This window comes from Homo sapiens, chromosome X (assembly GCF_000001405.40).
Source record: "Homo sapiens chromosome X, GRCh38.p14 Primary Assembly".
NCBI classification, from domain to species: domain Eukaryota; kingdom Metazoa; phylum Chordata; class Mammalia; order Primates; family Hominidae; genus Homo; species Homo sapiens.
In genome coordinates this window covers 106,427,647-106,453,604 of record NC_000023.11, presented here as the reverse complement: position 1 = coordinate 106,453,604, position 25,958 = coordinate 106,427,647, and positions in this window count along the sequence as shown.

Below are 25,958 nucleotides of genomic sequence, written 5' to 3'. Positions count from 1 at the left end.
AATTAATTAACAGGCATCATCAACCACTTTTCCTCTCTCCCATCTCATGCCCTTTGCTAATGGGCATATTTGAATGTGTGTAATTCAAGTTATAGAAACATTTCTATCCAACCTTTGGTGATCTGCTTGCTCTTCTCTCCCTTCCTTCCATTGCCAAACAAGACTCTGCTGACCAAGGCTTGTGATAATTGACTGCTTCTTCCCACCTTTACTTCTATTATAGATCTTGCAATATCCTTAGCTCACAGGAACTTGCTTCTCCCGTTTATTATTAGTTTATACCTGGCCTTGACCCATTGCACTCCAAAACTGGGGTTTTTTCCAAGTGCCTACTACTTCTTTAATCGCTGATGCTTGGTCTTTCCTATTTGTACCCATTTCTTAGTGTGTCGCTATCTCCTTGGAATATCCTTTCCAATACACAGTCACTATTCTGGAAGATTCTTCATTTGCCAGGGAATAAAACTCTTTATTGGTTAATTGTATTGGCTTTCATATTTTACCTTTTCTAGATGCAAACAAACTGCTCTAGGTGGTAGTCTCATTTATATATATTTATATTTATTTATATATATAAATTTATATATTTATATAAAATATAATATATTATATAATATATATTGTATAATATATATTATATAATATATAATATATAATATATATTACATATTATATATTATATATTATATATTACATAATATATAATATATAATATAAATAATTATTATAATATTATATAATATATAATTATTATGATATATAATATATAATAATTATGATAATTATAATATATAATATATATTATACAACATATATTATATCATATCATATATTATATTATATTATATTATATATTATATATATAATTATACATAATATATAATATATAATAATATAAAATATAAATATTATATATAATTATACATAATATATTATATATTATATGTATAATTATATATAATTTATAAAAATATACAAGAGGCAATCCTTGGTTAACATCCAGAGTGAATATACATATATATGTATGTATATGGCAAGAGAAGTCAGGCACTTCAGCTGTAGCATATCCTGCACACTTTGGTAGGTCAAACAGCATCTCCGAGCCTCAATAAGGTGGGGATAATAATTCCTGTTTTCATAGTTCACACAGTTGTGAAAACAAGATGCAATATGCAAGGACCATTGTAAAGAACATTCAGGGATAATAGAAGTTTATCTTTCATAGTGAACATTCATAGAACCACTCCATGGGAACCTGAGATTTCTCTTATGATTAGTTCCATCTTTACGATGCACTGGATTCTTAGAATGAAGGTTAGGATTGAATCAACAGGTGTTCAGTGAATGCTTATGCATTGAAGTGAATCAATAAAATTTAATGCTATGTTTTGCCTTCATTTCAAAGCATTTTGGACCTTGCTTAGCTAAGTGCAGGAGGGTGGGAGCCTGGAGGTAGGACAGTGGTAATGATGATGGCTTGTTCTACTGCAATGAGCCCAAGTCAGTACTATAAGTAGCAATCCTTTGTTAACATCCTGAGTGAACCTCAGGACAGAGAGAGCTCATTCCTGTCTGCATTTTCTCCAGCACTGAGTAGTGTTTGGCATGTAGTAAGCATTCGGTGATGTTTTTTTAATGAAGGAAGGAATGAATGGCAAGATAAAATAAATCCTTCTGTCCGGCAATATGATTAATAAAGAGGTCCTGTGGGAATAGTACTGAACATGAAATCAGAATCCTTAGGTCCTAATCCTGATCTGTGGACTCCATGTGTAGCTTTGTGCAAATCTCTTCCCTCCTTTAATCCTCACACATATCTGGAAAACAATGGAGGTAGTGGTGGAGAGGGTGATCGATAAGGTGATTTCTAAGGGCATTCTTACTGCCTTGATGTTCTATGACAAGAGTTACCACATTGTGATGAACAGTGAATCATTCAATTACATGGAACTGGAATATGGCTGTGAGGTATGCCATCATGGGATGTAAGTTGCAGCCTCTGTCAACAAATATGAAAGAGATAGATGCCTGAGAATCTGCAGCCTCAGGGGGAAAGGCAACAGCCCTTGTCACTGTTAAAACCTTGTCTTTACCATATTTGGCAATGACACTGACTGAGGCTAGGAGACAATGTAGATGGAGAAATGTATCACCTTGATGTAGAATTTTGGCAGAAAAGAGAGAAATGCCAAAGACCAGTGAAATGGTTGTAAAAATCAAGAATAAGTCAAGACCTTTCTCAGTTCATAGAACTCTACGAAGTTAGGCCTGGCACTGTGGCTCATGCCTGTAATTGTAATCCCAGCACTTTGGGAGGCCGAGGTTGGAGGATCGCTTGAGTTTAGGAATTTAACACCAGCCTGGGCAGTACAGTGAGACCCCATCTCTCTCTCTCTCTCTCTCTCTCTCTCTCTTGATAGTAAAAGAAACCTAGGAAGTTGGAAATAAAAAGGCCCTAGCACCCATCTTATTCAACCTCTTAATTTAAGGGATAACAAAACTTGCCCCCAAAAGAAGAAGGAAACTAGACTAATGTCACACACACAGAATTTCATCAGTGCTGTGGCTATATCTTCAAATCAGAAGCCTCTCTGTCTCTCTCTCCCTGCCCCCCATCCTAATTTTCTTATAGCTTATTAGAAGATAAATCCATGAATAATTTGGAATTGGAAGAGAGGATACAAACTTGGCAGATCTTACAAAGGAAGGGAGTACATAATTTAGCCTGCAGCTTCAAGGGATGATCAGACTCCAGCTTAATTCTCAAAACTCAGAGAAGGGAAGGATTCTGTCATTGTGCCTACTCTTACTGAGCATCTCTGACAGCTCTGCTATTTGGCTATTTTCTCTATTAGCAAGTTTTTCTGATATTCTGATCACATCAGAATTACATTACTTGTGTTCAAAAGCCATTATAAAATACTCAGAGTAGAATAGATGTGACATCAGCTTTAAAATAAATTAGGAGGATTAAAATAGACCATATAAGAGTACATTACTAAGAGTAAGAGTGACTCATACTTTAAGATTGTGTTCATAAAAGGTGTCATCCAATTCATGTGTCTCTAGCCATTTTATATGCTGCATTTAAACCGGTTTTCACTTGGATTTCTGATGTCATAATTTTAAAATAGAATACTCTACAGGTTAGGCCTGCATTCGTTCTCTGTGATAATTCACTTGATTATTTTTATGATGTTCTACTCCTAAAACTTGCACAATAATTCCAGATTCATAAAACCAGAGGGAAAAAATGTAAATGTGGAAGGACCTCCTACAGAGGCAGGATTACTGAGGTAGAAACACCAATCTGTACATCTTGGCAGTAGATTCATGGAAGTTACCCTGAGTTTGTAAAGGTAAGATAAAGTTAAGATTTGACACAAATTTGTAAGTTTTGACACAAATTTGTAAGTTTGTGTTCCAAGTAGGCAGCCTGTGGGACTCTATTTCTTAAATATATATATCTTTTAATAATTGGCTGGGCCCGGTGGCTCACGCCTGTAATCCCAGCACTTTGGGAGGCCGAGGCGGGCGGATCACAAGGTCAGGAGATCAAGACTATCCTGGCTAACACGGTGAAACACCATCTCTACTAAAAATACAAAAACAAAAAAAATTAGCCGGGCGTGGTGGCACCTGTAGTCCCAGCTACTCGGGAGGCTGAGGTAGGAGAATGGCATGAACCTGGGAGGCGGAGCTTTCAGTGAGCTGAGATCACGCCACTGCACTCCAGCCTGGGCGACAGAGCGAGACTCCATCTCCAAAAAAAAAAAAAAAAAAAAAAAAAAGAATCAACCGTTCTGGACCCAGCCATCCCATTACTGGGTATATACCCAAAGGATTATAAATCATGCTGCTATAAAGACATATGCATACGTATGTTTATTATGGCACTATTCACGATAGCAAAGACTTGGAACCAACCCAAATGTCCAACAATGATAGACTGGATTAAGAAAATGTGGCACATATACACCATGGAATACTATGCAGCCATAAAAAATGATGAGTTCATGTCCTTTGTAGGGACATGGATGAAGCTGGAAACCATCATTCTCAGCAAACTATCACAAGGACAAAAAACCAAACACCGCATGTTCTCACTCATAGGTGGGAATTGAACAATGAGAACACATGGACACAGGAAGGTGAACATCACACACTGGGGCCTGTTGTGGGGTGGGGGGAGGGGGGAGGGATAGCATTAGGAGATATACCTAATGCTAAATGATGAGTTAATGGGTGCAGCACACCAACATGGCACATGTATACATATGTAACAAACCTGCACGTTGTGCACATGTACCCTAAAACTTAAAGTATGAAAAAAAAAAAAAAGAATCAACTGTCGTGGACAGGCACAGTGGCTCACACCTGTAATCCTAGCACTTTGGGAGACTGAGGCGGGTGGATCACCTGACGTCAGGAGTTTGAGACCAGTTTGGCCAACATTGTGAAACCTTGTCTCTAATAAAAATACAGAAAAATTAGCCAGGTGTGCGTGGTGGTGGGTGCCTGTAATCCCAGCTACTCGGGAGGCTGAGGCAGGGAGAATTGCTTGAACCCAGTAGGTGGAGGTTGAGTGAGCCAAGATCATGCCATTGCGCTCCAGCCTATGCAACAAGAGTGAAACTCTGTCTCAAAAACAAAACAAAACAAACAAACAAAAAGCAAGAATCAACTGTTCTTTAGTAGCTTCATTCAGGTATAGTTTACATACAATTAACTGTACATATTTGCATCTAATTGCTCAAACTGTAAAATTTGACTTAAAATTTGACTTATGAACATAACTGTAAAACCATCACCACAATCAATATAGAGAATATATCTATCACTTCCAGAAGTTTCCTTGTTCCCTTTTGTAATCCCTCCCATCCCTCCTCACACTTTAATCCCCATACAACAATCAATTTGTTTTCTTTCACTGGAGACTAGCTTGCATCTTATAGAATTTTATATAAATGGAATTATACAGCATATACTCTTTTTGGTCTAGCTTCTTTCACTCAGCATAATTATTTTGAGCTTCATCTATGCTGTAGCATGTATCAATAGTTCATTTTTATTGTTGAGTAGTAATCCATTGCATGAACGTGCCACAGTTTGTTTACTCATTCCCTTGTTGATCAGCACTTACATTGTTTCTAGTTTTAGGCTATAATGAATAAAATTACTATGAACATTTGTTACAAGTTTTTAAATGTGCATGTGCATATGATTTAATTACTCAGGTAAATATCTAAGAGTGGTATGACTGGGCCATAAGGTAGGTGCATGTTTAACTTTTAAAGAAACTGCCTAAGTATTTTACAAAGTGGTTGTACCTTTTTACATTTCCAGTGGCAGTGTAAAATTATTCCAGTTGCTCCACATCATTGTCTATACTTGCTATAATTGGTCTTTTGAATGTCAGCCATTTTAGTGAACAGGTAGTGGCATCTCATTGTGGTTCTAACTTGCATTTCCATAATAACTAACGATATTGAAAATCTTTATGCATACTTATTTGGCATTGATAAATCTTCTTTGGTGAAGAGTCTATTTAAATCTTTTGTCCATTTTATTTATTAGATTGTTTGTCTTCTTATTATTGAACTGTAACAGTTCTTTATATATTCTGGTTGTAAGCCATTATCAGATATACGATTTCTGAATTTTTTTTCCCCAAGCCTATGGCTTGTCTTTTCATTCTCCTAATAGCGACTTTCAGGCTAGAAAATTTGAATTTTGATGAAATTCTATTAAAATTTTGTTTTATGGATTATGTTTTTTGTGCCCTATCAAAGCAACCTTTGCTTAACCTAAACTCTCAATTTTTTTTCTGTATCTTCTCTTGAAGTTTTATAGTTAGGTTTTACATTTATGTCTACGATCCATTTTGAATTAATTTTCTATATGGAGCAAGGTATGGATCAAAGTTCTTTTCTTGCATATGGCCATCCAATTGTTCCAACACCATTTGTTTATCTTAATGCCAATGCCACAGTGTCTTGATTACAGTAGTTTAAGATATACCTTGAAATCAGCCAGGGTAAGTCCTCTGATTTGTTTCTTTTTCAAAGAGAATTTGGCTATTCCAGATTGTTTGCATTTCCACAGGGATTTTAGAATCAACTTTTCAATTTCTACAAAAAATGCTTGATTGGAATTGTTTTGAGTCTACAGGCCAAATTGGGGAAAAATGGCATCTGAACAATGTTGTGTTTTCAGACCATGAACATTTTATATCTCTCCATTTATTTAGATCTTAATTTCTCTCAGCCATGTTTTCTAGTTTTTGTTGCACAGGTCATTCATATTATTTGTTAGAATTACCCCCTGAGTATTGCATATATTTTGTGTAATTGTAACTGGGAATGCATTTTTAACATTTCTATTTCCAACTGTTCATTGCTAGTATATAAAAATTTAGATGTTTTTTGTATATTGATCTTTATCCTACAAACTTACCAAATTCATTATTTCCAGTAGCTTTTTGCAGAAACCGTAGGATTTTCTACATAGATAACCATGAAGTCTGCCAAGAAAGACAGTTTTAATTCTGCTTTCCAATATGGATACCTCTTAGTTCTTCTTCTTTCTCCTCCTCCTCCTCTTCTTTTGTTTGACTGATTTCACTGGATAGAATCTCCAGTTTAAGGTTGAATATAAATTGTGAAAGTAGACATCCTTGTCTTGTTCTTGATCTTAGGGGAAAGCATTCAGTCTTTCACCATTAAGTATGTTATTACTTGTCAGTTTTCATAAATGCTCTTTTATCATGTTGCAATCAACTTGTATTTCAGATTCAGGGGGTACATGTGCAGGTTTGCATACGGGTATATTGCTTGATGGTGAGGTTTGGGGTAGAGATGATCCTGTCACCCTGGTAGTGAACATAGTACCAAAAAGGTAGTTTCTCAGCTCATGGCCTCTTCCCACCCTCCCCCCTCCAGTAGTCCCCAGTGTCTATTGTTCCCATATTTATGTCTGTGTGTACTCAATGCTTAGCTCTCACTTAGAAGTGAGAACGTGCTGTATTTGCTTTCCTGTTCCTGTGTTAGTTTGCTTAGGATAATGGCCTCCAGCTCCATCCATGTAGCTGCAAAGGACATGATTTCATTCTTTTTATGGGTGCATAGTACTACATGGTATATATGTACCACATTTTGTTTATCCAATCCACCATTGATGGGCATCTAGGTTAATTCCATTTCTCTGCAATTGTGAATAGCACTGCGATGAACACACAAGTGCATGTGTCTGTTTCATAGAATTATTTATTTCCCTTTGGGTATATATCCAGTAATAGGATTGCTGAATTGAACTGTAGTCCTGTTTTAAGTTCTTTGTGAAACCTCCAAACTGCTTTCCGCTGTGGCTGAACTAATTTATATTCCCACCCACAGTGTATAAACATTCCCTTTTCTCTGCAGCCTTGCCAGCATCTGTTGTTTTTTAGACTTTTTAATAATCGCCTTTCTGACTGGTGTGAGATGGTATCTCATTGTGGTTCTGATTTGCATTAGTCTGATGATTAGTGATGATGAGCATATTTTCATATGTTTATTGGCCGCTTGTATGTCTTCTTTTGAGAAGTCTCTGTTCATGTTCTTTGCCCATTTTTTAATGGGGTTATTTGTTTTTCCCTTGTTGATTTGTTTAAGTTTCATGTAGATTCTGGACATTAGACCTTTGTCAGATGTACCTAGAAATGATAAACAACTTGAGTAAAGTTTCAGGATACAAAGTCAATGCACAAAAATCAGTAGCTTTCTATACACCGATAACTTTCAACTTGAGAGCCAAATTAAGAACACAACCCCATTTACATAGCAACACAAAAATGAAATACCTAGTAATATAGCTAACCAAGGATGAAAGATCTCTACAAGGAAAGCTACAAAACATGGCTGAAAGAAACTATAGTTGGTACAAAGAAATGGAGAAGCATCCCATGCTCTTGGATCACAAGAATCAATATCATTAAAATGGCCATCCTGCCCAAAGCAACTTACAGATTCAACACTATTCCTATCAAACTTACCAACATTATTTTTCACAGAATTAGAAAAAACTATTCTAAAATTCATATGGAACCCAAAAAGAAGCTGAACAGCCAAAGAAATCCTAAGCAAAAAGAACAAAGCTGGAGGCATCACATTACCTCATTTAAAACTATATTACAAGGCTATGGTAACTAAAATAGCATGATACTGGTACAAAAACAGATGCATAGACCAATGTATCAGAATAGAGAACCAGAAATAAAGCCACACATCTACAATCATCTTATGTTCAACAAAGTTAATCAAAATTTCAATGGGGAGAGGACTCCCTATTCAGTTAATGGTACTGGGATAGCTGGCTGTCTATATGCAGAAGAACAAAACTGGGTCCCTACCTTTCACCATATACAAAAATTAACAAAAGGTGGATTAAAGATGTAAATGTAAGACCTCAAACTATAAAAATCCTATAAGAAAAATCTAGAAAATACCCTTCTTAAATGTCAGCCTTGGCAAATAATTTATGGCTAAGTCCCCAAAAGCAACTGCAACAAAGACAAAATTTGACAAGTGGGACCTACTTAAATAAAGAGTTTCTGCATGGCAAAAGAAACTCTCAACAGAGTATACAGACAACTTACAGAATGGGAGAAAATATTTTTAATCCACTTTTTATTTTAAAAAGTAACACAGTGAATACTTCTGATAGCACAGTAGATTAGGTATTCTGAAGTACTTTCTTGCTCCACAAACCAAGTTGCTGAATAGATTACAGCAAATGTCTTACTAAATGCATAGCTGATCTTGCAAGAAAGTAAAGGAATTCCCTTGAGGTTAAAACCAAAGTGCCAAAGGAACATAGAATGCACCTGGGATCATATGCCAATTTTGGAAACTTTATAGCTTTTGAGTTTTAACAGCTGACATCCTCTTTGCTCTATCTCAGTCTCCTTCAGAAGCTCTCTTCTTATCTTTGTTTCTTAAATATTGGTCTTCATCAGGGCCCTTTCCTAGGCTCTCTTCTTTTCTTGTTCTCTGGTCGATCTTGTCTGTTTACTGTTTTAATGTCACCTCTATGCTTATGACATGGAAATCTATATATCCCAGGTTTCTTTCCTGAACTCCTATTTCTCCTGTCCAGCTTTCTAATGGGTACCATCTTGTCTTTGACATACTACAATTTCTTCAAACTCATGTCCAAACTGTACTCATCGCTTCCCTGCCTGCATGTATTTCTCCTTCTGCATTCACTACCTTAGTTATTGGCATCATCATTTGGGAGTCATCCATATCTCACTGACTCTTACTGGTTCAATCTTCTAAGTGTCTTTTGAGCCCATTTCTTCATTTCCATACTCATTGCTACTACCTTTGTTCAAGTCACCATTTTTCACCTGAATTACTGCAATAGTCTCCTAACCAGTTCTCTACAACCAGTCCAGCTTTCTTCAGTCTATCCTTCATAGTGCCACTAGAGTCATAAGTTACAAACGAATGCCATTTCCCATTGCACACATAATAATGTTTAATCCTCTCAAGCTGTCATGTAAGTGCTGCATCATCTGAGCTCTGACTACCTTTCCAGCTTCATCTCTCTCTCTTTTATGTTTTACCTCCCAGTCATCTTGAATAACATACCATTTCCTGAAACTTCTATGCTCTCTTCTGCTTTTGTGCATTTACTCATGCTGCTCCCCCTGCTTACCTCTCTCTTGTTTCACCTGGCTAAATAAATTATGTTCATGTTTCAGAACTCAAGTCCAGTATCACCTAAGTTTTCTGTCATTGTTTTTCTAATGAGGTGCTCCCATATCACTACAGTAGTTATCTTACCATACTGCAATAGATTGCCTATTTGACTTTTCTTATTACCTATAGACTTCCTGAAAGCAAAGTCCGTAGCACAGCAGTAAATAAAAATAAACATTTTAAATAAATTATTTAACTAATGAATTAATTGGTTAAGTTAATTAGTTGACCATTTCAAAGACAGAAATATTGTGGTGAGGTAGGAATAAGATAGCGTTCACTCAACAATAGTTTGTTGAACGTTTACCACTGCTTTACGAGTTGACAAAGTGGAAATAAATAAGACACAGGATTTGTTCTCAAGGAACTCAAAGTCCAGTAGGAAACGAAATGAAGGGGGCTTGGGCAGGTCAAGTTGAAAGAAAAGCTCAAAGTGCTTGAGTATGAATACTCAAGGAATGTATACATTCAGTATTCCTTATTTCTGTTTCTGGCTCTTTTACTCAACTTAATCATGTTAACTCTATTTTGACAAACTTAAAATTACACTTTAATCTTTTTTGTGAAGGATTAGTCCACTGAAAACCAAAACCAGTTTTGACACTGATGTGGTGTCTGAGTTCCTGTGTAATGTAAAATGTAAAAATACTCTATTTGCCTTATTTTTCTACATAAACATAACTAAAATCATAGTAGATATGTGTAAAATACAAATAAACTGCAAGTAGCTTTGAGAATCCCATCATATCTGGTTGTGAGAGAATCTTGGTATGTGTTTCATACTCAAGGAAACACATACTCAAATATTCCTTGAGTATGGAAACACATACCAAGATTCTCTCACAACTGGATATGATGGGATACCATATATATCACATACTGAGAAAGTTTTCATATTCAACTACAATTCATACCTGCTGACTTCAGAAGGCCTAATTCGAAAGGTAGGCTGCATCTGAAAAGAGCAAAAACATTTATATTTGAATAACATCTAACTTATTTTCTGGTGTTCTTGTGGGTTCTGATTTTCTGAGTTCTGGACCATACTGGTTGACCAGCTGGGACCTGCTTGCTCCTTCTTGCATTTCTTAATTCTCCTAGACTTGACTCTTGGCTTGACTGGAACTGAAGTTTGCCATAGTTTCATGCAGATGTAGGCTCCCAGTACTAAGGCCTTCCAAATACTCCTGTCTCACCACGTTTGCATGACATCCTTTCTAGGCCAAAGTAGAAAGTAAAATGACATTGCTTACCACAGTGTCCTTTGTAGTGCCTTTATGGGTTAAAGTATACATCATGGACAGTCCTTTACCTGAACCTACCATCACCATTCTCTGACTAGTTTGCCTGGTTCTCATGCCCACTTCCAGTTTCTAGAGCTGCCCAAATATCCTTCCACCCCAGTAGAGTCAGAATTGAGCTTCCAAATATAATAACTTCCACTTAAATTATTTACTCCTTGCCCGTTACTATTTCCTGCATCTTCTGAGAGGAAGATGCACTCCATAAGGCTGAGATGACTTGCAGACTCTGCATCTGAGGAAGCAGCCTGTATTACAGTGTAGTTATTAAGAGGATGTGTTCTGAGGCCAGATCTCTTGGGTGTGCATCCTAGGTCTACTTCTTAGCAGACAGTATGAATTAGGGTAAGTTATTTAACCTCTGTGTCTTTGGTTTCTCATATGTTAAATGTGGATAACTGTGCATACCATATATGATAGTTGAAAGATTAAATGATAAAAATCATGTAAGGCTCTTAATACAGTACCTGGAAAATGATAAGTGCTCAATAATTATTAATTATCCGTAGTATTTTTATGTCAGTATACCAAAGAGTTCACTTGAACCTCTCATACACCAGATGAAATGAGTTGACCAAATGCTTCTATTCCAGGTTGTCAATTAGGCTATAAGAAATGAGCTCATGCAAATTAAAATCCCCTAGAATTAGAGGAGCTTAACACTAACACTAGTTGTGTTAAGCTGGCTGAGTAGGCAAAGGAGGAGTTTCCCCAGAAGTGTCTTTACTCCAAATATGTGCTACAGAGGCTGGTAACTCTACAACCGAATAGTAGAAGCAAAACTTCCCAGAAGCCTCTCAGATGGCCTTCCAAGGAGCTATATTATTATGAAGATTTTGCTCTGTGCAGTTTTAGAGCCCCAAGGACTTAGTGTGTCCTGGGACAGACGGTTAGTATGAAAGCCTCCATGAAAATCCTTATATCCACCATGGATTTGAATCCTTACTCTGAGAAGAGAGAATCTATATTGGCCTTATATGTCCCTGAGTTCCCAGTCAGTTCTGTAGATGTCAGGTTTATAGGACTGCATTTTGTGGCCCAGGTGCCTCCTTGTGGCTATGGGAGAGATAGTTTGGGGGTCTTCATCTCTGGACCCACCACTCTCCCGATACTTGGAGTGCTCTTCTCAGAGATATTCTAAACCCAGCATTCTCCTTGGTTCTTCAGACTCTTAGACACTGTCAACTATTTAGAGCAGAGGTCTTACTCTGTATGCATTACCCTTGCTACCAACTGACTCATCTAAGTCTTCATATCAAAGACTGCATAAGGAACTTGCTACTTACCTGAAAACTCAGGGTCCTATATATGTTATTCATGTTATTCAAAGACCACAGGGTCAAGTGTTTGTGAAATAAGGAAAATAGGAATAATTTTAGAATAAAAGAGTAAAGATATTTCTGCCATCAAACTCAATGTATCATTATGGCAGCCACAGAAGTTTGCTGTTTGGATCTCCCTTCAAGCAAGAACTTGCCATTCAGCAAGGAGTGAAGTGAGCTGACAGCCTCCAGCTACTAGTGCTTTTAAGATCACTCTCAGCTTTTAAGCTAAAACCACTCTTCCTGGTTCCTGGGCAGGACTTTTCCTGGGCAGGACTTTTCCTGGGCAGGCCCCAGACAATGACTAACAAAGGCTTGGCCATTTCTTCCCAATGCAGAATTCATCTAATGGGAAATGTTTGCTCCAGAGCTCCTCATTTGATGGGCTGAGACTTTGTCAGATCTGCATTGAGGTCTGAGTCTCTCCTGCCCAATCCTTCTTCATTCCCTCTTTTTTTTTTTCAACAGTTGCCCTCTTGTACTCCTGCATCTCTCACTCAGTGTCTGCTTCCTGGAGGACCCAAAATGACACAATCACCTATTTGCACTGTAAGCACATTTCAGAGGGTATTGATATACTTGTTCCTTTTATCCCCTCCCCTATTCCTCCTACACAGACACATGAATGTATCACCAACTGAGGCGTTTGTACAAAAAAAAAATATGTTTTCCCATACTAATCACTATCCTTAGTGAATTTGCTGTTTCAAATGAGTAGGTCTTCCCATTCATCCCAGAATTATTCAAACATTTTTGATGGGCCAGATGTTTCACAAAATAAAAAATCTTTAGGGTGCTTTAATCAATTGTGGGTGAACAAAGCACATATATGGAAGATAGCATTTTTCCTGAGACATGAACTCTGCATACGGTGCCTTGCTGTTCATGCTGTGTAATTCTCCAGGCTTTCCTAACAAAATCATGAAGGATTTCACAAAGTAGCTCATCGTTATCTGCCAGGGCAATATCCTGGTCTTTTTCATGATATTAGGTAAGCATGACTAGCAGCTGCAAACTCTATTAGAATATCTCTAGAATGGCCAGTTAGATGTTAGATGTGAAACCAGAAAATTTAAAATGTGAAAACTTGAAATTGACTCAGTAAAGTGGAATCTCCAAGTCATATCATCTTGTCTAATATATTACAGATGAGTTCCCAAACAGTGTCCTCAATTACAAATGGGACCCTCCAACACATATGAAGAGTACAAAAATCCTTTGCCCTCCCCAACTTTTTTCCATATTATTCTAGGTGAATAAAACAGCCCTCACTGTCTTTTTTTTTTTTTTTTGAGACAGGGTCTTGCTCTGTCACCCAGGCTGGAGTGTAGTAGGACAGTCATGGCTCACTGCAGCTTCGACTTCTTGAGCTCAAGTGATCCTCCGATCTCAGCTTCTGGAGCAGCTAGGACCACAGGTATGCACCACCAAACCTGGCTAATTTTTTAATTTTTATTTTTTGTAGAGACAAGGTCTCACTATGTTGCTCAGGCTGGTCTTGAACTTCTGGGCTCAAGCGATCCTCCTGCTTTGGCCTCCCAAGATGCTGGGATTACAGGTGTGAGTCACTGTGCCCGGCCCTCTCACAGACTTTTTCTAAAAACCCTCCCAATTCACAGAAAGAGGGTGGAGGGACTTCTAATTCTCAAAGACTTTGGATGTTCCTGCCATCTATAGCCAGTGTGTAAGGTGGCCTCACCTCATTCCAGGAATTCTTGTGACAAGTAAAGGTGTTGGAACATACACCTATGCAGTTTCCTCTTCTATGCTTCAATGAATTTTACCTGAGACCCTCTCCAACTCCAGATAAAATGCTAGACATCACCCATGGATTTAAATAAGTTGGCAGAATGTAACCAGAGAACGAAGGCGTCAAAATTTTGCCTTTCGAGTTTTTCAAAATCCATAAACTCAGGGAAACCCTTAAGGGTTCCCTTAAACCCTGCCCACACATCAGTAAATAGTCTCTTTATGAAACCTTCCTCAAACTATCCCATTTGAGAGAGCTATGTTTTCTGCTGGGACTCTGTCTAATAAATGTAATCATATAAAATTAGAAGGTGGAGGCTAGAGATCAAAATTTGGAAGTTATTAAAAAATAGCAAGTATTTGAGTAGGTGTAGCCAAGGTGTAGGGTAAGACAGAGAAGATTTGGAAACATTTGTAACCTAGTTTTCTTTTCTTATCCTGCCCCAGATTCCACAGATTGGGGAGGGAAGAGGGGAGAAGGGAATGGAGTCAAAAGGGTAAAACCATCAAGTTTCATTCGGGAAAAACCCAATCAGTGATCCACATATGAGAGCCATGTTTCAAGGATCCCATTGCTCACTAATGGAGTGTTCAGCAGGAACACCTGGGCAAGATGGGATGATAAAGAACTGTCGAGATCGCCCATTGAATCAAGACTGGTGAAACACCCATTGCTAAAAGGTTTGCACTTGCTCTCAAGTGGTCATTGCTGTAGAGATAAATACCGTCAGGTAATCCATCAGAACTGTGTGTCAGAGTTAGGAACTCTCAAATAGTTCTGCTTTTTCCATTATTATCAATGAATCCTGATGAAGTCACTGAAGACAGAATATTATGGCCATTAAAGCTGAGTTTTAAAAACGGCTACACCTACTCAAATACTTGCTATTTGTGAATAACTTCCAAATTTCCATATCTAGCCTTGATCTTCTAATTTTATATGATCACCTTTATAGTAAGGGTATATACCAGCAGAAAACATATAGCTCTCTCAAACTGGATAATTTGAGGTAGGTTTAATAAACAGACTGTTTACTGATGTGTGGGCAGGGTTTAAGGGAACCAACAAGTTTCCCTGGGGCTATTAATTGCCATAACCCTTACTTTCCCTAGGTCTGAAAGAATACGAGGAGAGCAGTTACCAGAACCTGAAGGGAGATGGCGGACATAAAGGGAAAGCTTCCTGACAGAAGTCGTGATGTTCAATAGGGGAGCACCACAAACCCATGGTGGGCTAGCAGGGCAGTAGCCAAGGAAATAAATACTCTGTTCTGTTTCTCTTACAACCTCTCCCATTGATCTCCTGGAGATGCCTCCTGGTAGCTGAAGCCAACTTGAAACCACTGGGCAAGGGGGCCCATTGAAGCAGTCCATGCATGTCAGAGCAGGGTGGAGGAGTGGAAAGACGGGTTATGAGCAGGACGCAATGAGAAACATTCAGCACAGACAATTTGATAAGAGTTGGAAGAACTTCCTGGAAAGCCTTTCTTCCTTGGAGAATTTGATAAAAGCTATGAACCTTCACACAACCAGCAATAAAAAGAACAAATAAATATACATATATGATTTTTACATGACTTTTCAAAAGGTGGTTTCAGCCTCTGTGGTTTCTCAATAGTGTACCTAGGAGTTCCATACATAGCAAGTTAAGAACCTCCTTCTCTGGAGAGCAGTATGTAGGAGTACATACCATCCTGTAATACTTTTTTTTTTTTCCTTAGCTTTTCCCTCTATTGTATTTTCAGCAACTTAGATATCATGGAGTGAAGCTGAGAAACCTTTGGCCAACTATAAGTGAGCCAACCAGACCTGTTCTTTCCTCAGGTGTACTGAATCTGAGCTATAATATGGAGCCTGAATAGCAAAGCTTTGAAGGAGCAGCAGACAGAAAATGTGGGGGCGGCCATGAGATAATGGGTTGCCTAGCAACAATGGCTGGAAGGCTGTCTTTTCTGGAATTTCTCAGCAGAGAGAATTCGTTTTTAAAATGTGTGTATGTGAGAGAGGGAGAGAGAGAGAAAGAGAGAGAGAGAGAGAGTCGGGGGCAGAGAAAGAGAGAGACAGAGAGGGAGGGGGCAAGAGAGACAGAGTGAAAAGCAGAGATAGTCAGACAAACACAGGCAAAAAGGGGACTTCAGTAAACAAAGACATAACAGAAGTAAGAAAGAATGGGAGCAAGTTTAGGGGAAAGGAGAAATGGAGATAAGTTCAAGGGGTGGGCTGTGAGATGAACTCAGTTGAAGAAAAGGGAAAAAGGAGAGGAACAAAGGTTTAAAAGAGAAACGTCCAAAAGAATTAGTGAGGGAATGATGGAATGAGTGGGAGCAACTTCTTCCCAGGCCTCACTGAAGGCTGCAGTGTTAACTTTACCTCACAATGAAAGTTACCCAGTCTTTCTTCTAATTAAATGTTTTCCTTGTAAGTCAAAAACCTTTAGTTGTAGCAGCAGAAAGAACCGGGAATTATTTATTAAGCACTACTGGGGCTATAGCATTTCTCAGGCTAGTAAAGATTCCTTTACAATAACCACGAGGACTTGTCTCCTTAGTACAGCTTTTAAAATTTTACCAATTACTGTCACAGCTGTCATCTCAGGGGACCCTTACTGCAGCTGTCAGGCAATGAAGGGATTGTCATTACTTCAATTACACACATGAAGAAACTAAGGCCCTGAGAGGAAGGGTGGTTGCCTGGGGTGCCACGTTTAGTAAGCTTAAATCAAGGACTCAGTACTTGTGGCCCTGACTTCAAGTTCCAGGTCCAGGGCTGGCATGCATCTCTGCTCGGACTTTCCAATTGCACACTAAGTGTGGTAGACCTGACACTGAAGCATTTGCTCTCTACCACCTGCTGAAATTTGAACTGAAGAGCTATTGCAAAGTCTCAAGCCAGTAGGGGTCTTATGCTTTCTTCTTTCCCTATAATGTGCAAATGTGTACATTTGTGCCTCCAAGAACAGTGCTTAATTGGCCCAAGTATGCAGCCAGTATCCAATAGCTCCATGAGATATTCCTTGGCACTGATCCTCTCAGAAAAACCTTGTATCTCTTGTTGTCACACCAATCATCGATTATTGCAAAAGACCTCTTGGGCACAGTGAGGGGTATTTGAGAGATAGAGAGAAATTTGTTACTAGAACTAAGGGGCTGAAGGATCACACAGAGCACAAGAGCTAGCAACTGAATGCCATGGAGCAGTTGAGTGGCTCCTGTGCCCTTTCATGCCTCTCCAAGGCTTGAGAACTAGGATGGAGCAAAAATGAGGCCAAGTCCTCTGTTTGGCAGCAAGCTTATCTCCTGCCTTAGTCCTTCCCTCCTCTGTTCAATCGTGTACCTACTTGACAGATTAAATTTCCAAAAATGGCATTCACCTGCTTAGCAACTTTTAATATTTTCTCCATTCAACATGGCATTAGTTTTGTCATCTAGCATTCAAGAATTGCTTTGTTTTACTCCAAACTTTATTTTAGTTTCATATATTCCTATTCCTACAGTCCAAATGTCTGAAAAACTAGGCTAGTTATTGATTCTCAAACATACCCCATACCTCACATCTGTGCCCTTGCTCAACATATCTCCTCTTCCTGTAACCCTATCTGTCTTCCAATGAGAAAGTAGTTCCTACCAATTGTCTCCACTTAACACTTGGGTTTGTAATGTATCCAACTGGCTAAGCCAAGTTATGTTTCCAAGAATTTCCTTTTCTACAGGTTATGGTGGGTCACAAGAGAGATTCTTGTGAGAGTTTTACAAGACAGAAGGGAAGCAGCTGTCATTTTACAGCTCATAAACATTGCCACATATCTCCTGGCTCATCTTGGTGGTATAATGCAGCAGCCAGGCCTGCAATTGCTACACCTTTCTCTGAATTCTATTTTAGCTTCTCTAACTTCTGGACCAGATTGTTTATTTAGTTCAATAACAAAGGGCCCCAAATTCTCCAGGACACTCACACAACCAAGATCAGAGCCATCAAGAACAGACATGAGTCTCAGTTTATCTTGTGAGCTCTAGCGTACGCCAGTGGGTCCCATCTTGTTTTTGCTCTCCCCCATCTTACATTTGTCTTTCCTTCCCTGCTGCCTGACCTGTGGACTTTAAGATTCAAAATCAGATGCAAAGGCAACAGCCCTACAGATTCTGTTTAACCAGCCCCGCAGTTGTCAAATTCCTATAACAAATTCAGATATTTAAAAAAATCTATCTTTGTGGTTTTGCTTCTCTGATTCAACTTGCATGTGAGCTTCTTGAAGGCAGATACAACGTCTTTGATAAATTCTGACAAACTTTACAGCTTACAAAATGCTTTCACATTCATCATTTCATTGAATTCTCACAACCAGGGCCACTGCAAAAAGTTATGTATTGACCAGCATTAGTTTCATCATCCTGGCATTCAGGTTGTAATAGGACTGCCACTCCTTCCCTCCCCAGAGGTGAGCAATATGGCACCCTTGGTCATCACAGCCCTTTGCAGTGGATTGCACTAAGATTCTTATCCTTGTTGTTCTAATGAGAAAATGTGAATTGGGGAGAGGTTACTCCATCTGAATGATGAAGTATCATTCCTGGTGTCATGCAATAATATGAGATAGAATCACTGACTGCACATCTATTTATTTATTTGTTGTTTATTAACTAAGAGACCCAGTCTTTTATTCTTGATCTATGAGGTTAAAGCATAGATAATGCCCTTTTTCTCCTACCTTTCCCATCTATCATTTACTTTTGCCTTCAAAGTCAGTTATGAATGGGGTGAAAATAATGTCTACTTTACCAAGGGGAATACCCATCCCACAATGAATTGGCATTTTCCCTTTTCATGGCAAGAGCATAATGGAAGTGAAATGGTGAAAGCCACCCTAACTGAGGAAGTGTCGATGCAATGACATATGATCCACACAAGGGTTTATCAGAGCCCTTTTCTGAAAGAGATATAAAGTCCTTGAGAGTTATTGTTATTGTTCTACTGGAGTTGTTAAAGTTGTTCCATGTAAGTCTTATCTCTCTATATGAAATCCCATCTAGTATAGGAGAGAAAAGGCCTAAGAAAAGCAGAACTGAAAAGTGAAGGGGGAGAGGAAAAGTGAACTAATATCGTTTGAACTACTGGATATACCCTTGAAATTCCCAGTTAGGTCAGCTAATAATTTCCTTTTGGCTTAAGTCAGTTTCAGAGGCTTTTCTGTTACTTGTAACTAAAAATCCCTGTTCATTAGATACATTGGTACAAAAACTGAAAATTTTGAGTTAAAAACCTGAAGATTTGGCTAAGTGCAGTATTTATAGTGTGCAGACTAAGTTCTAGCTCCAGCATGATGAGTTTTGCAAGTCATTCCTCTTCTCTGGGTCTAAGTTATCCCATCAGTATAAACAGAGAATTTTACCAAATGATTTCTAAGGGCACTTCTAGCTCTAACATTCAGAATAACAATATCCATGGCTCATTCTTAGCCTCTGGAACAACAAAGAGCCAAGAGTAGGATATAAGGATTCTAGCCTTAGCTCTGCCTCTGGTTAGCTGGAGGACCTTGGTCAAGCACCTTCTCCTCTCTGGGATCCACTTTGCCTCCCCACATTCTTATGCAGAAGTTAGACTTGCTATTCTCAAGGGTTTGCTATGGCTCTGGTGTATCAGGCTTCTCTGAGTCTTTGAGAGCTTGTTCCTAATAATATCAGAATATTTCCTGTATTTCTGTTTCTCTGGATGTTTGTGGGGTTTTCTATTTTCACATATGTAAAAGTTCTCATTGAGTCCTTCAAAGTTGAACACCTTGTGCTTCTTTTAGGGAAAGGCCTGTCTTGTTCCCCTTTGCCATGTCCAGGAAAATATTTTAATATTTTATTTAGTTTATAGCTCAGTCTTTTGAAAGAGTATGATCACAACTTTTCCTTTTATTTCACTATCTGGGGGGTAACCACTGGGGAAAAAGAGTGGGGTGAAGGGGTTTGGAGTTGGAATCAGCTTTCTGTACAGTTAGAAATACTCTAATGAAACTAGTGTTAGAGATGAAGAATGACTCTTATTCTAAGCCCCCTATTTTCAGATGCTTATGACTTTAAGTGATACTAATGAGTACATGTTTTAGAAGTCTAATGGAGCAGAATTCTGAGGCAATGAAGTTTTATTAAATATGCCATTATCAAGTTCTTTGAATCACATTATGTAGTGGGATTGGTTTTAAGGCATGAAACTTGTATTCCTGAGAAGTCTAAGAAATGGATCATGTATGTTTACTTAGAATATAAGGAATCATTAATTTCATCACCAAATCTATGAAGAAAATGAGCTTAAAACTCTTGTGTCCACTCAAGAAGCACCTAAAAGTTGTTTCTCCTCTCCTTCATGCAATTATTTACTCTGGTGCCCTCCTTTCCATTCTAGTTGCCTCTAGTTGCCATTCCGTTTAGACCTCATTACTTCCTTACAAATTATGGACTATTTCATGTATACAGAAAAGAACATAGCATATATGTAAGGTATGTAACGGAATAAAATGAAAATCCTGTACCCATCACCAACCTTAAGAATCGGAACATGGTCAATGACTTTGAAAACCACATGTGCCCTCTCTGATTCATACCCTCATTCTTTCCCAGAGGTAGCCACTATCCTGAATTTTGCTAATAATTCACTTATTTTCTTTACATGTTCGCTGCACAAGTAACTGTGATTTTGTCCATTTTTTGGACTTTATATAAGTGTAATTATACTATATGCATTTTTTTGCTTATTCTTCCCTCCCACCAACTTTGTGATTTGTGAGATTTATCCATGTTGATGTTTGTAGCTGTAGTAATCAGTTTTCACTTCTGTATGGTTATCTATCCCATGAAAATTGTATGCCTTTACAAATTATGATGCTCCAAATCTTTTTAGCATATACCCTGATGCCCATGTACAAGATTTTTTCTAGAGCAATGGTTCTCAACTGGGGGCAATTTTACTCCCTAGGGACATTTACTTCTGTCTGGGAACATTTTTGGTTACAACAACTGAGGGTGTGCTATTATCATCTAGTGGATAGAGGCCAGGGATGCTGCTAAACACCCTAAAATACACAAGATAGCTCTCCACAATCAAGAATTACCTGACCCAAAATGTTAATAGTGCTAAGTTTGAGAAACCCTGACCTATAGTATATGCCTAGACCTAGAATATTTGAAATATCTGGGTAATAGGATCTTCCTAAATTCAACTTTTTCTAGGTAACACCAATTATCTTCCAAAGTGGTTATACCAGTTTATACTCCCAACAACAGAATATGAGAGTTCTACATGCCCCACATTCTCACCAACTCTTGGTATCATTAGCTTCATTACTACTTGCCTGAACTTTTGCCATACTCATCCAACTTTCTCCTACATTCACCTCTTTCCCCACAGATTCATTCTTAATATTATTGCCAAATTAATCTTCTAAAACCTAACTCTGATCATTCAAAATCTTATAACAATGTTTCTGCCTCTACTGCCTACAGATAAGCCTTGTATTCAACAGCTACACAAAAACACTCCATTAGCTCTGTACACCTAATCATACTAGCCTATTAGTTGATCCTCAAATAAGCTCTGCCCTTTCTCTGCCCTCTATGCTATCTTTGTCTTTGAAGACTTACCCTTTCTTACAGTCATTTGCTCTTTCATTATGTGCCAATGCAGTCATTTAGTCAATAATTATTTACTTTGCTGTGCTCGTACTATGTGCCAGGCACCATTGTTAATGCTGGAGATGTAACAGTAAACAGTACATTCAAGACTCTGACTGCTCCTCTCTAAGCTTTCCCTACCACAAAACCATCTGAGCTCAGAAGCACTTCCCATTTTTGATTCCAGGAATTCCTAGCTCTTGGAACCTAATGTTTTTCAGATTTCAATCCTGATCCCTATCCATCAGGTCTGCTCCTTCCATCCAGGCTTGAGATATGGGCATCTGAAGGGGCTGGAGGAGGAAGGGGCCCTTGGGAAGTGGAGAGATTGGCTTTTTTCTGACTGTCCTGCCAGAGTTGGCCTTAGCTAACTAGTTTCTGGGCAGGTTCTCCCTTTGGGTCTTCACTGGATTCTCTGGTCTTCTCCTGTTGCTGTCCTGCCCTGCTGTCCTCAGTGTCCATCAGGATGAACTGGAGGAGGCTATGGTGAGGGAGCAGAACAGAAGCTATTTACTCCATATTCTATGGCCTTGGTCTTAGACCCAGCAGAGCTGCCCAGAGATCTGCGAGGTTTTAAGTAGGGAGTCTCCAGCCTGAACCGGGTTTGAATTGAGAGCAAAAGGCAGGAAGAGGCTTCTTAAAGTGTCTTCTTTCAGATATTATTTGCACTCCATACAAAAGGAGCTACTGCCTCTAACTCAATAATTTGGGGGAAAGACTGAAAAAAACATTTGGAAAAAAGGCCCTAAGGAAAGGTTGCCACCTTTTGCCATAGTCTGTCTTTGCTCTGTATTCTGGGTCTATGTAAATAAAAGTAATGACCACAGGTGACTGCACTTCTTTAAAACACTTTTCCCTGACATTTAAACTTATAAATTGCCTTGCAAGTCTCCTTGCAGATGCACTAGGGCTAACAACTTTGTCTTTCAGTAGGGCTGGGCTTTGGGATACTTCCTTCTATAGCTGAGGAAAGTCAATGATATTGATGCTACTTTGTCTATGTATTATTCAGTGTTATACTCTAAATCTCAGGGGAGTTGACTTGCTTAGATCCCAAACAGAACAAGTTCCCCTAAAACTTGTCATCATGTATCCTAACTTGTCATACTTTCAAGAGTAATTTTCATGTTAGATTCAGATTTGCTCTATGTGCCCTGAAGACTCATTGATGACTTAAGGATTCATTCTGAGGTAGTCTCTTGCCCAGCTATATCTAGCTGATAGATCTGTTGGCAGCATTTGCAGCAATCTAGTCAACTCACAACTAATTTGAAGTATAAAATAAGAGTATTTTACACTGCATTTAGGTTTGTCTTGCTAAATAAATTATCTATATGTTGGAAAACAATTTATTATTCTTCCTGAGGTATCATTAGAACCATGAAGTTCAAGAGAGGTGAGAAATTTGTTCATTTCTTCACTCAACCAATAAAAGTTTCCTAAAAGGGCACCTACCCTGTACTTGGTTTTGATCTTGCAGCCAGCTATGCGAAGAAAATGACGTGGTCTCTGACCTCAAAGATGCTTAAGGTCTAGTGGCTATCAAAAAGTCTAGTGACTAATTCAAAGTCTATTGGCTAGCAAAGCAATGACCACAGTTCAGGTGGATAAGTGCAATAATATTGCAAAGTAAGCACACAGGAGTTTTAGGTAAGCTGGATTTTGAAAGACAAGGAGATACTTAGAGAGAGAGAAATATAATGACATGGAAGAGGGACCGCTAGGCAGAAGGAAGAGTACATTCAAAGAAAGTCGTAAAGGCATGAAAGAGTATTTCTGGAGTACTGCCAATGTTTTGGTGTGACTGCAGCAAAGGATTTTATGAGGCAGAGTAGTGGGAGTTAAGGGTAAAGAGGCAGGCAGGGGCCTCAGCTGCAGGAGATCAACTGGAAACTGAGTAGTTTAGCCTTCACCCTCAAGGTTACAAGAAGGCATTAAATGGCTCCAATTTTGGAATTGAGTTGTGTTTTAGCAATGCCACTCTGGAAGCAATGTGGAGAAAGAATCAGAGAGGGGAAAGAATGAAATACAGATTATAGCTGTAATTTAAGTGAGATGCTGAAGGCCTAAACTAAGGTAGTGATAGAAGACATATTGAGAAGTATATAGAATTGAGAATTAGCAATTGGACGTCAGCCATCACTGGATATGGGAACACAGGAGGTGTTAAAGCTATAGAGGAATAAGTGGTAGCAGATGTCTTGACAGTTTAGTAAGCCTGAATGTGAAAAGGAAAAGAAGGTAAAGATGAAAATGCCCTCAAACCAAACAATGGTGAGAGAAGAGAGAGGGAGAAGAGAGAGCAAATGGGAAGAAAATAGAGAGGTCAAGGAACAGGAGGTCTCAATGAGATCTTTAAAAATCACATATGTAGGGCGAATAAAGAATGAGAGAGGAGCATGGCTAGGAGACTGGTTCACGACAGGGTTATTTTAATTTAGAGTAGTTTAGGATGAAGAATAAATTGAGAGTATGTCTGTGGGAAGGTGTGGCTAACATTGTTTCACTGGAAATGAGAAGATCAAATTGTTGAGCAGTTGATGGGGATGTTGGAATCATCTGGAGGATGGTAAGATGTGTAAGACAGGAAGACCAGTGGATGGCTATGATCAATGGAAAATAACATAATGGAGTATGGTATAAGCCTCATAATGACAGGAGTTATTTAAAAGAATAATGAGGAAAGGTCTGGAAGCAAAATGGGAGTGACAAAAACCCTTATCTCTTTTGGCCTTAAGGTACATGTTGTATGAGAGAACAAAGTCTCCACTGAAGAGGACTTCAGTGTAAGTTATATTCTCAGTGAATAGCCAGGTTGCGGTTATGACCTGAAGATGAAGGGAATAATCAGAGAAAAAGTTGGAATGGAGATGTTCCTCGGTTCCCTATCCTGTTCTGTTGATGTATTTATTTTAATTTGTCTTAATTATTATAGTCTTATAATGAGAAAATTTTTGGTAGAGTAAATCTTTCCACCATCTTCTTCTTTAGGAGTATCTTGACTATTTATGATCCTTTGATTTTCCAGATAAATTTTAGAGTTAGATTGACAAATTCCACAAAATAAGACTTGTTAGAATTTGATTGCGGTTACATAGAATTACTAATAAATTGCAGGAGTGTTAACATATTTAAGATATTGAGTTTTTCAAACTATGAATCTGGCATATCCTCATTTATTTCTGTCATGTTTTATAAAGTTATATAATTTTCTTTGTGGCGGTCTTGTACATTTTATATGAGATTTATTTCCATGTACTTTATATTTTTAATGCCACTGTAAATTTAGTTGTAATAGTATTTTCTAATTATTTTCTTGAGTCACTATTGTTGTTCTTTTTCTAACTACTTGGGAAGAATAATTAACTTTCAGGTTTTCATCTCTTTCTTCTGATTTCTACTTTAATTGAATCTCACAAATTTTGTTATTTGGTATTTTCATTATTTTGCAGTTCAAACTGTTTTCAAATCCCCATTATGATTCCCTCTTTATCCATGAAGTCTTTTAAATTGACTCTTTATTTACAAAATAAGATTTTTTCTAGTTAATATTTTGTTGTCAATTCTTAGCTTAATTTGCTTATGGTCAGAGAATATGATCAGGGTGGTTTCAATCTTTTGCAATTTTTGACTGAACATGATACAGTCAATTTTTATAAATGTTATATATGTGTCTGGAAAAAATTGTACTTTCCATTTGCTTGGTATATGCTGATGTAGATAGATATAGATATATAAGTACATAAAGGTATAGCTGCACATAGATCCATATGTCCATTAGGTCAAGTTCATTAATTATTTTTTCAATACTGCTATATACTTACTGATTTTTTTTCCCTGCTTGTTCTATCAATTTCTGAGAGAGGTATGTTATTCAACTATGATTGTTTATTTGTCTTCATGGTTATGCCAACTTTCAGTCCTGCATTTTTAAACTATGTTATTAGGTAACAACAAATGTTAAGACTGTAGGAAGTAATAGACACATTAACATTTGTAGCTGATTATTTTGACCCACCACTCTCAGAACCTGAAAGTTCAAGCAAACAAAAATAAGCAGCAATATAAAAGGCTTAAACACAATAATAAAATTGGGCCATTAGATAATATAAAACTCTACACCCAAAAAACAGAATACAAATTCTTTTGAGCACCATTTACAGAAATATGCTATGAATTAGGAAAACAGAGGCC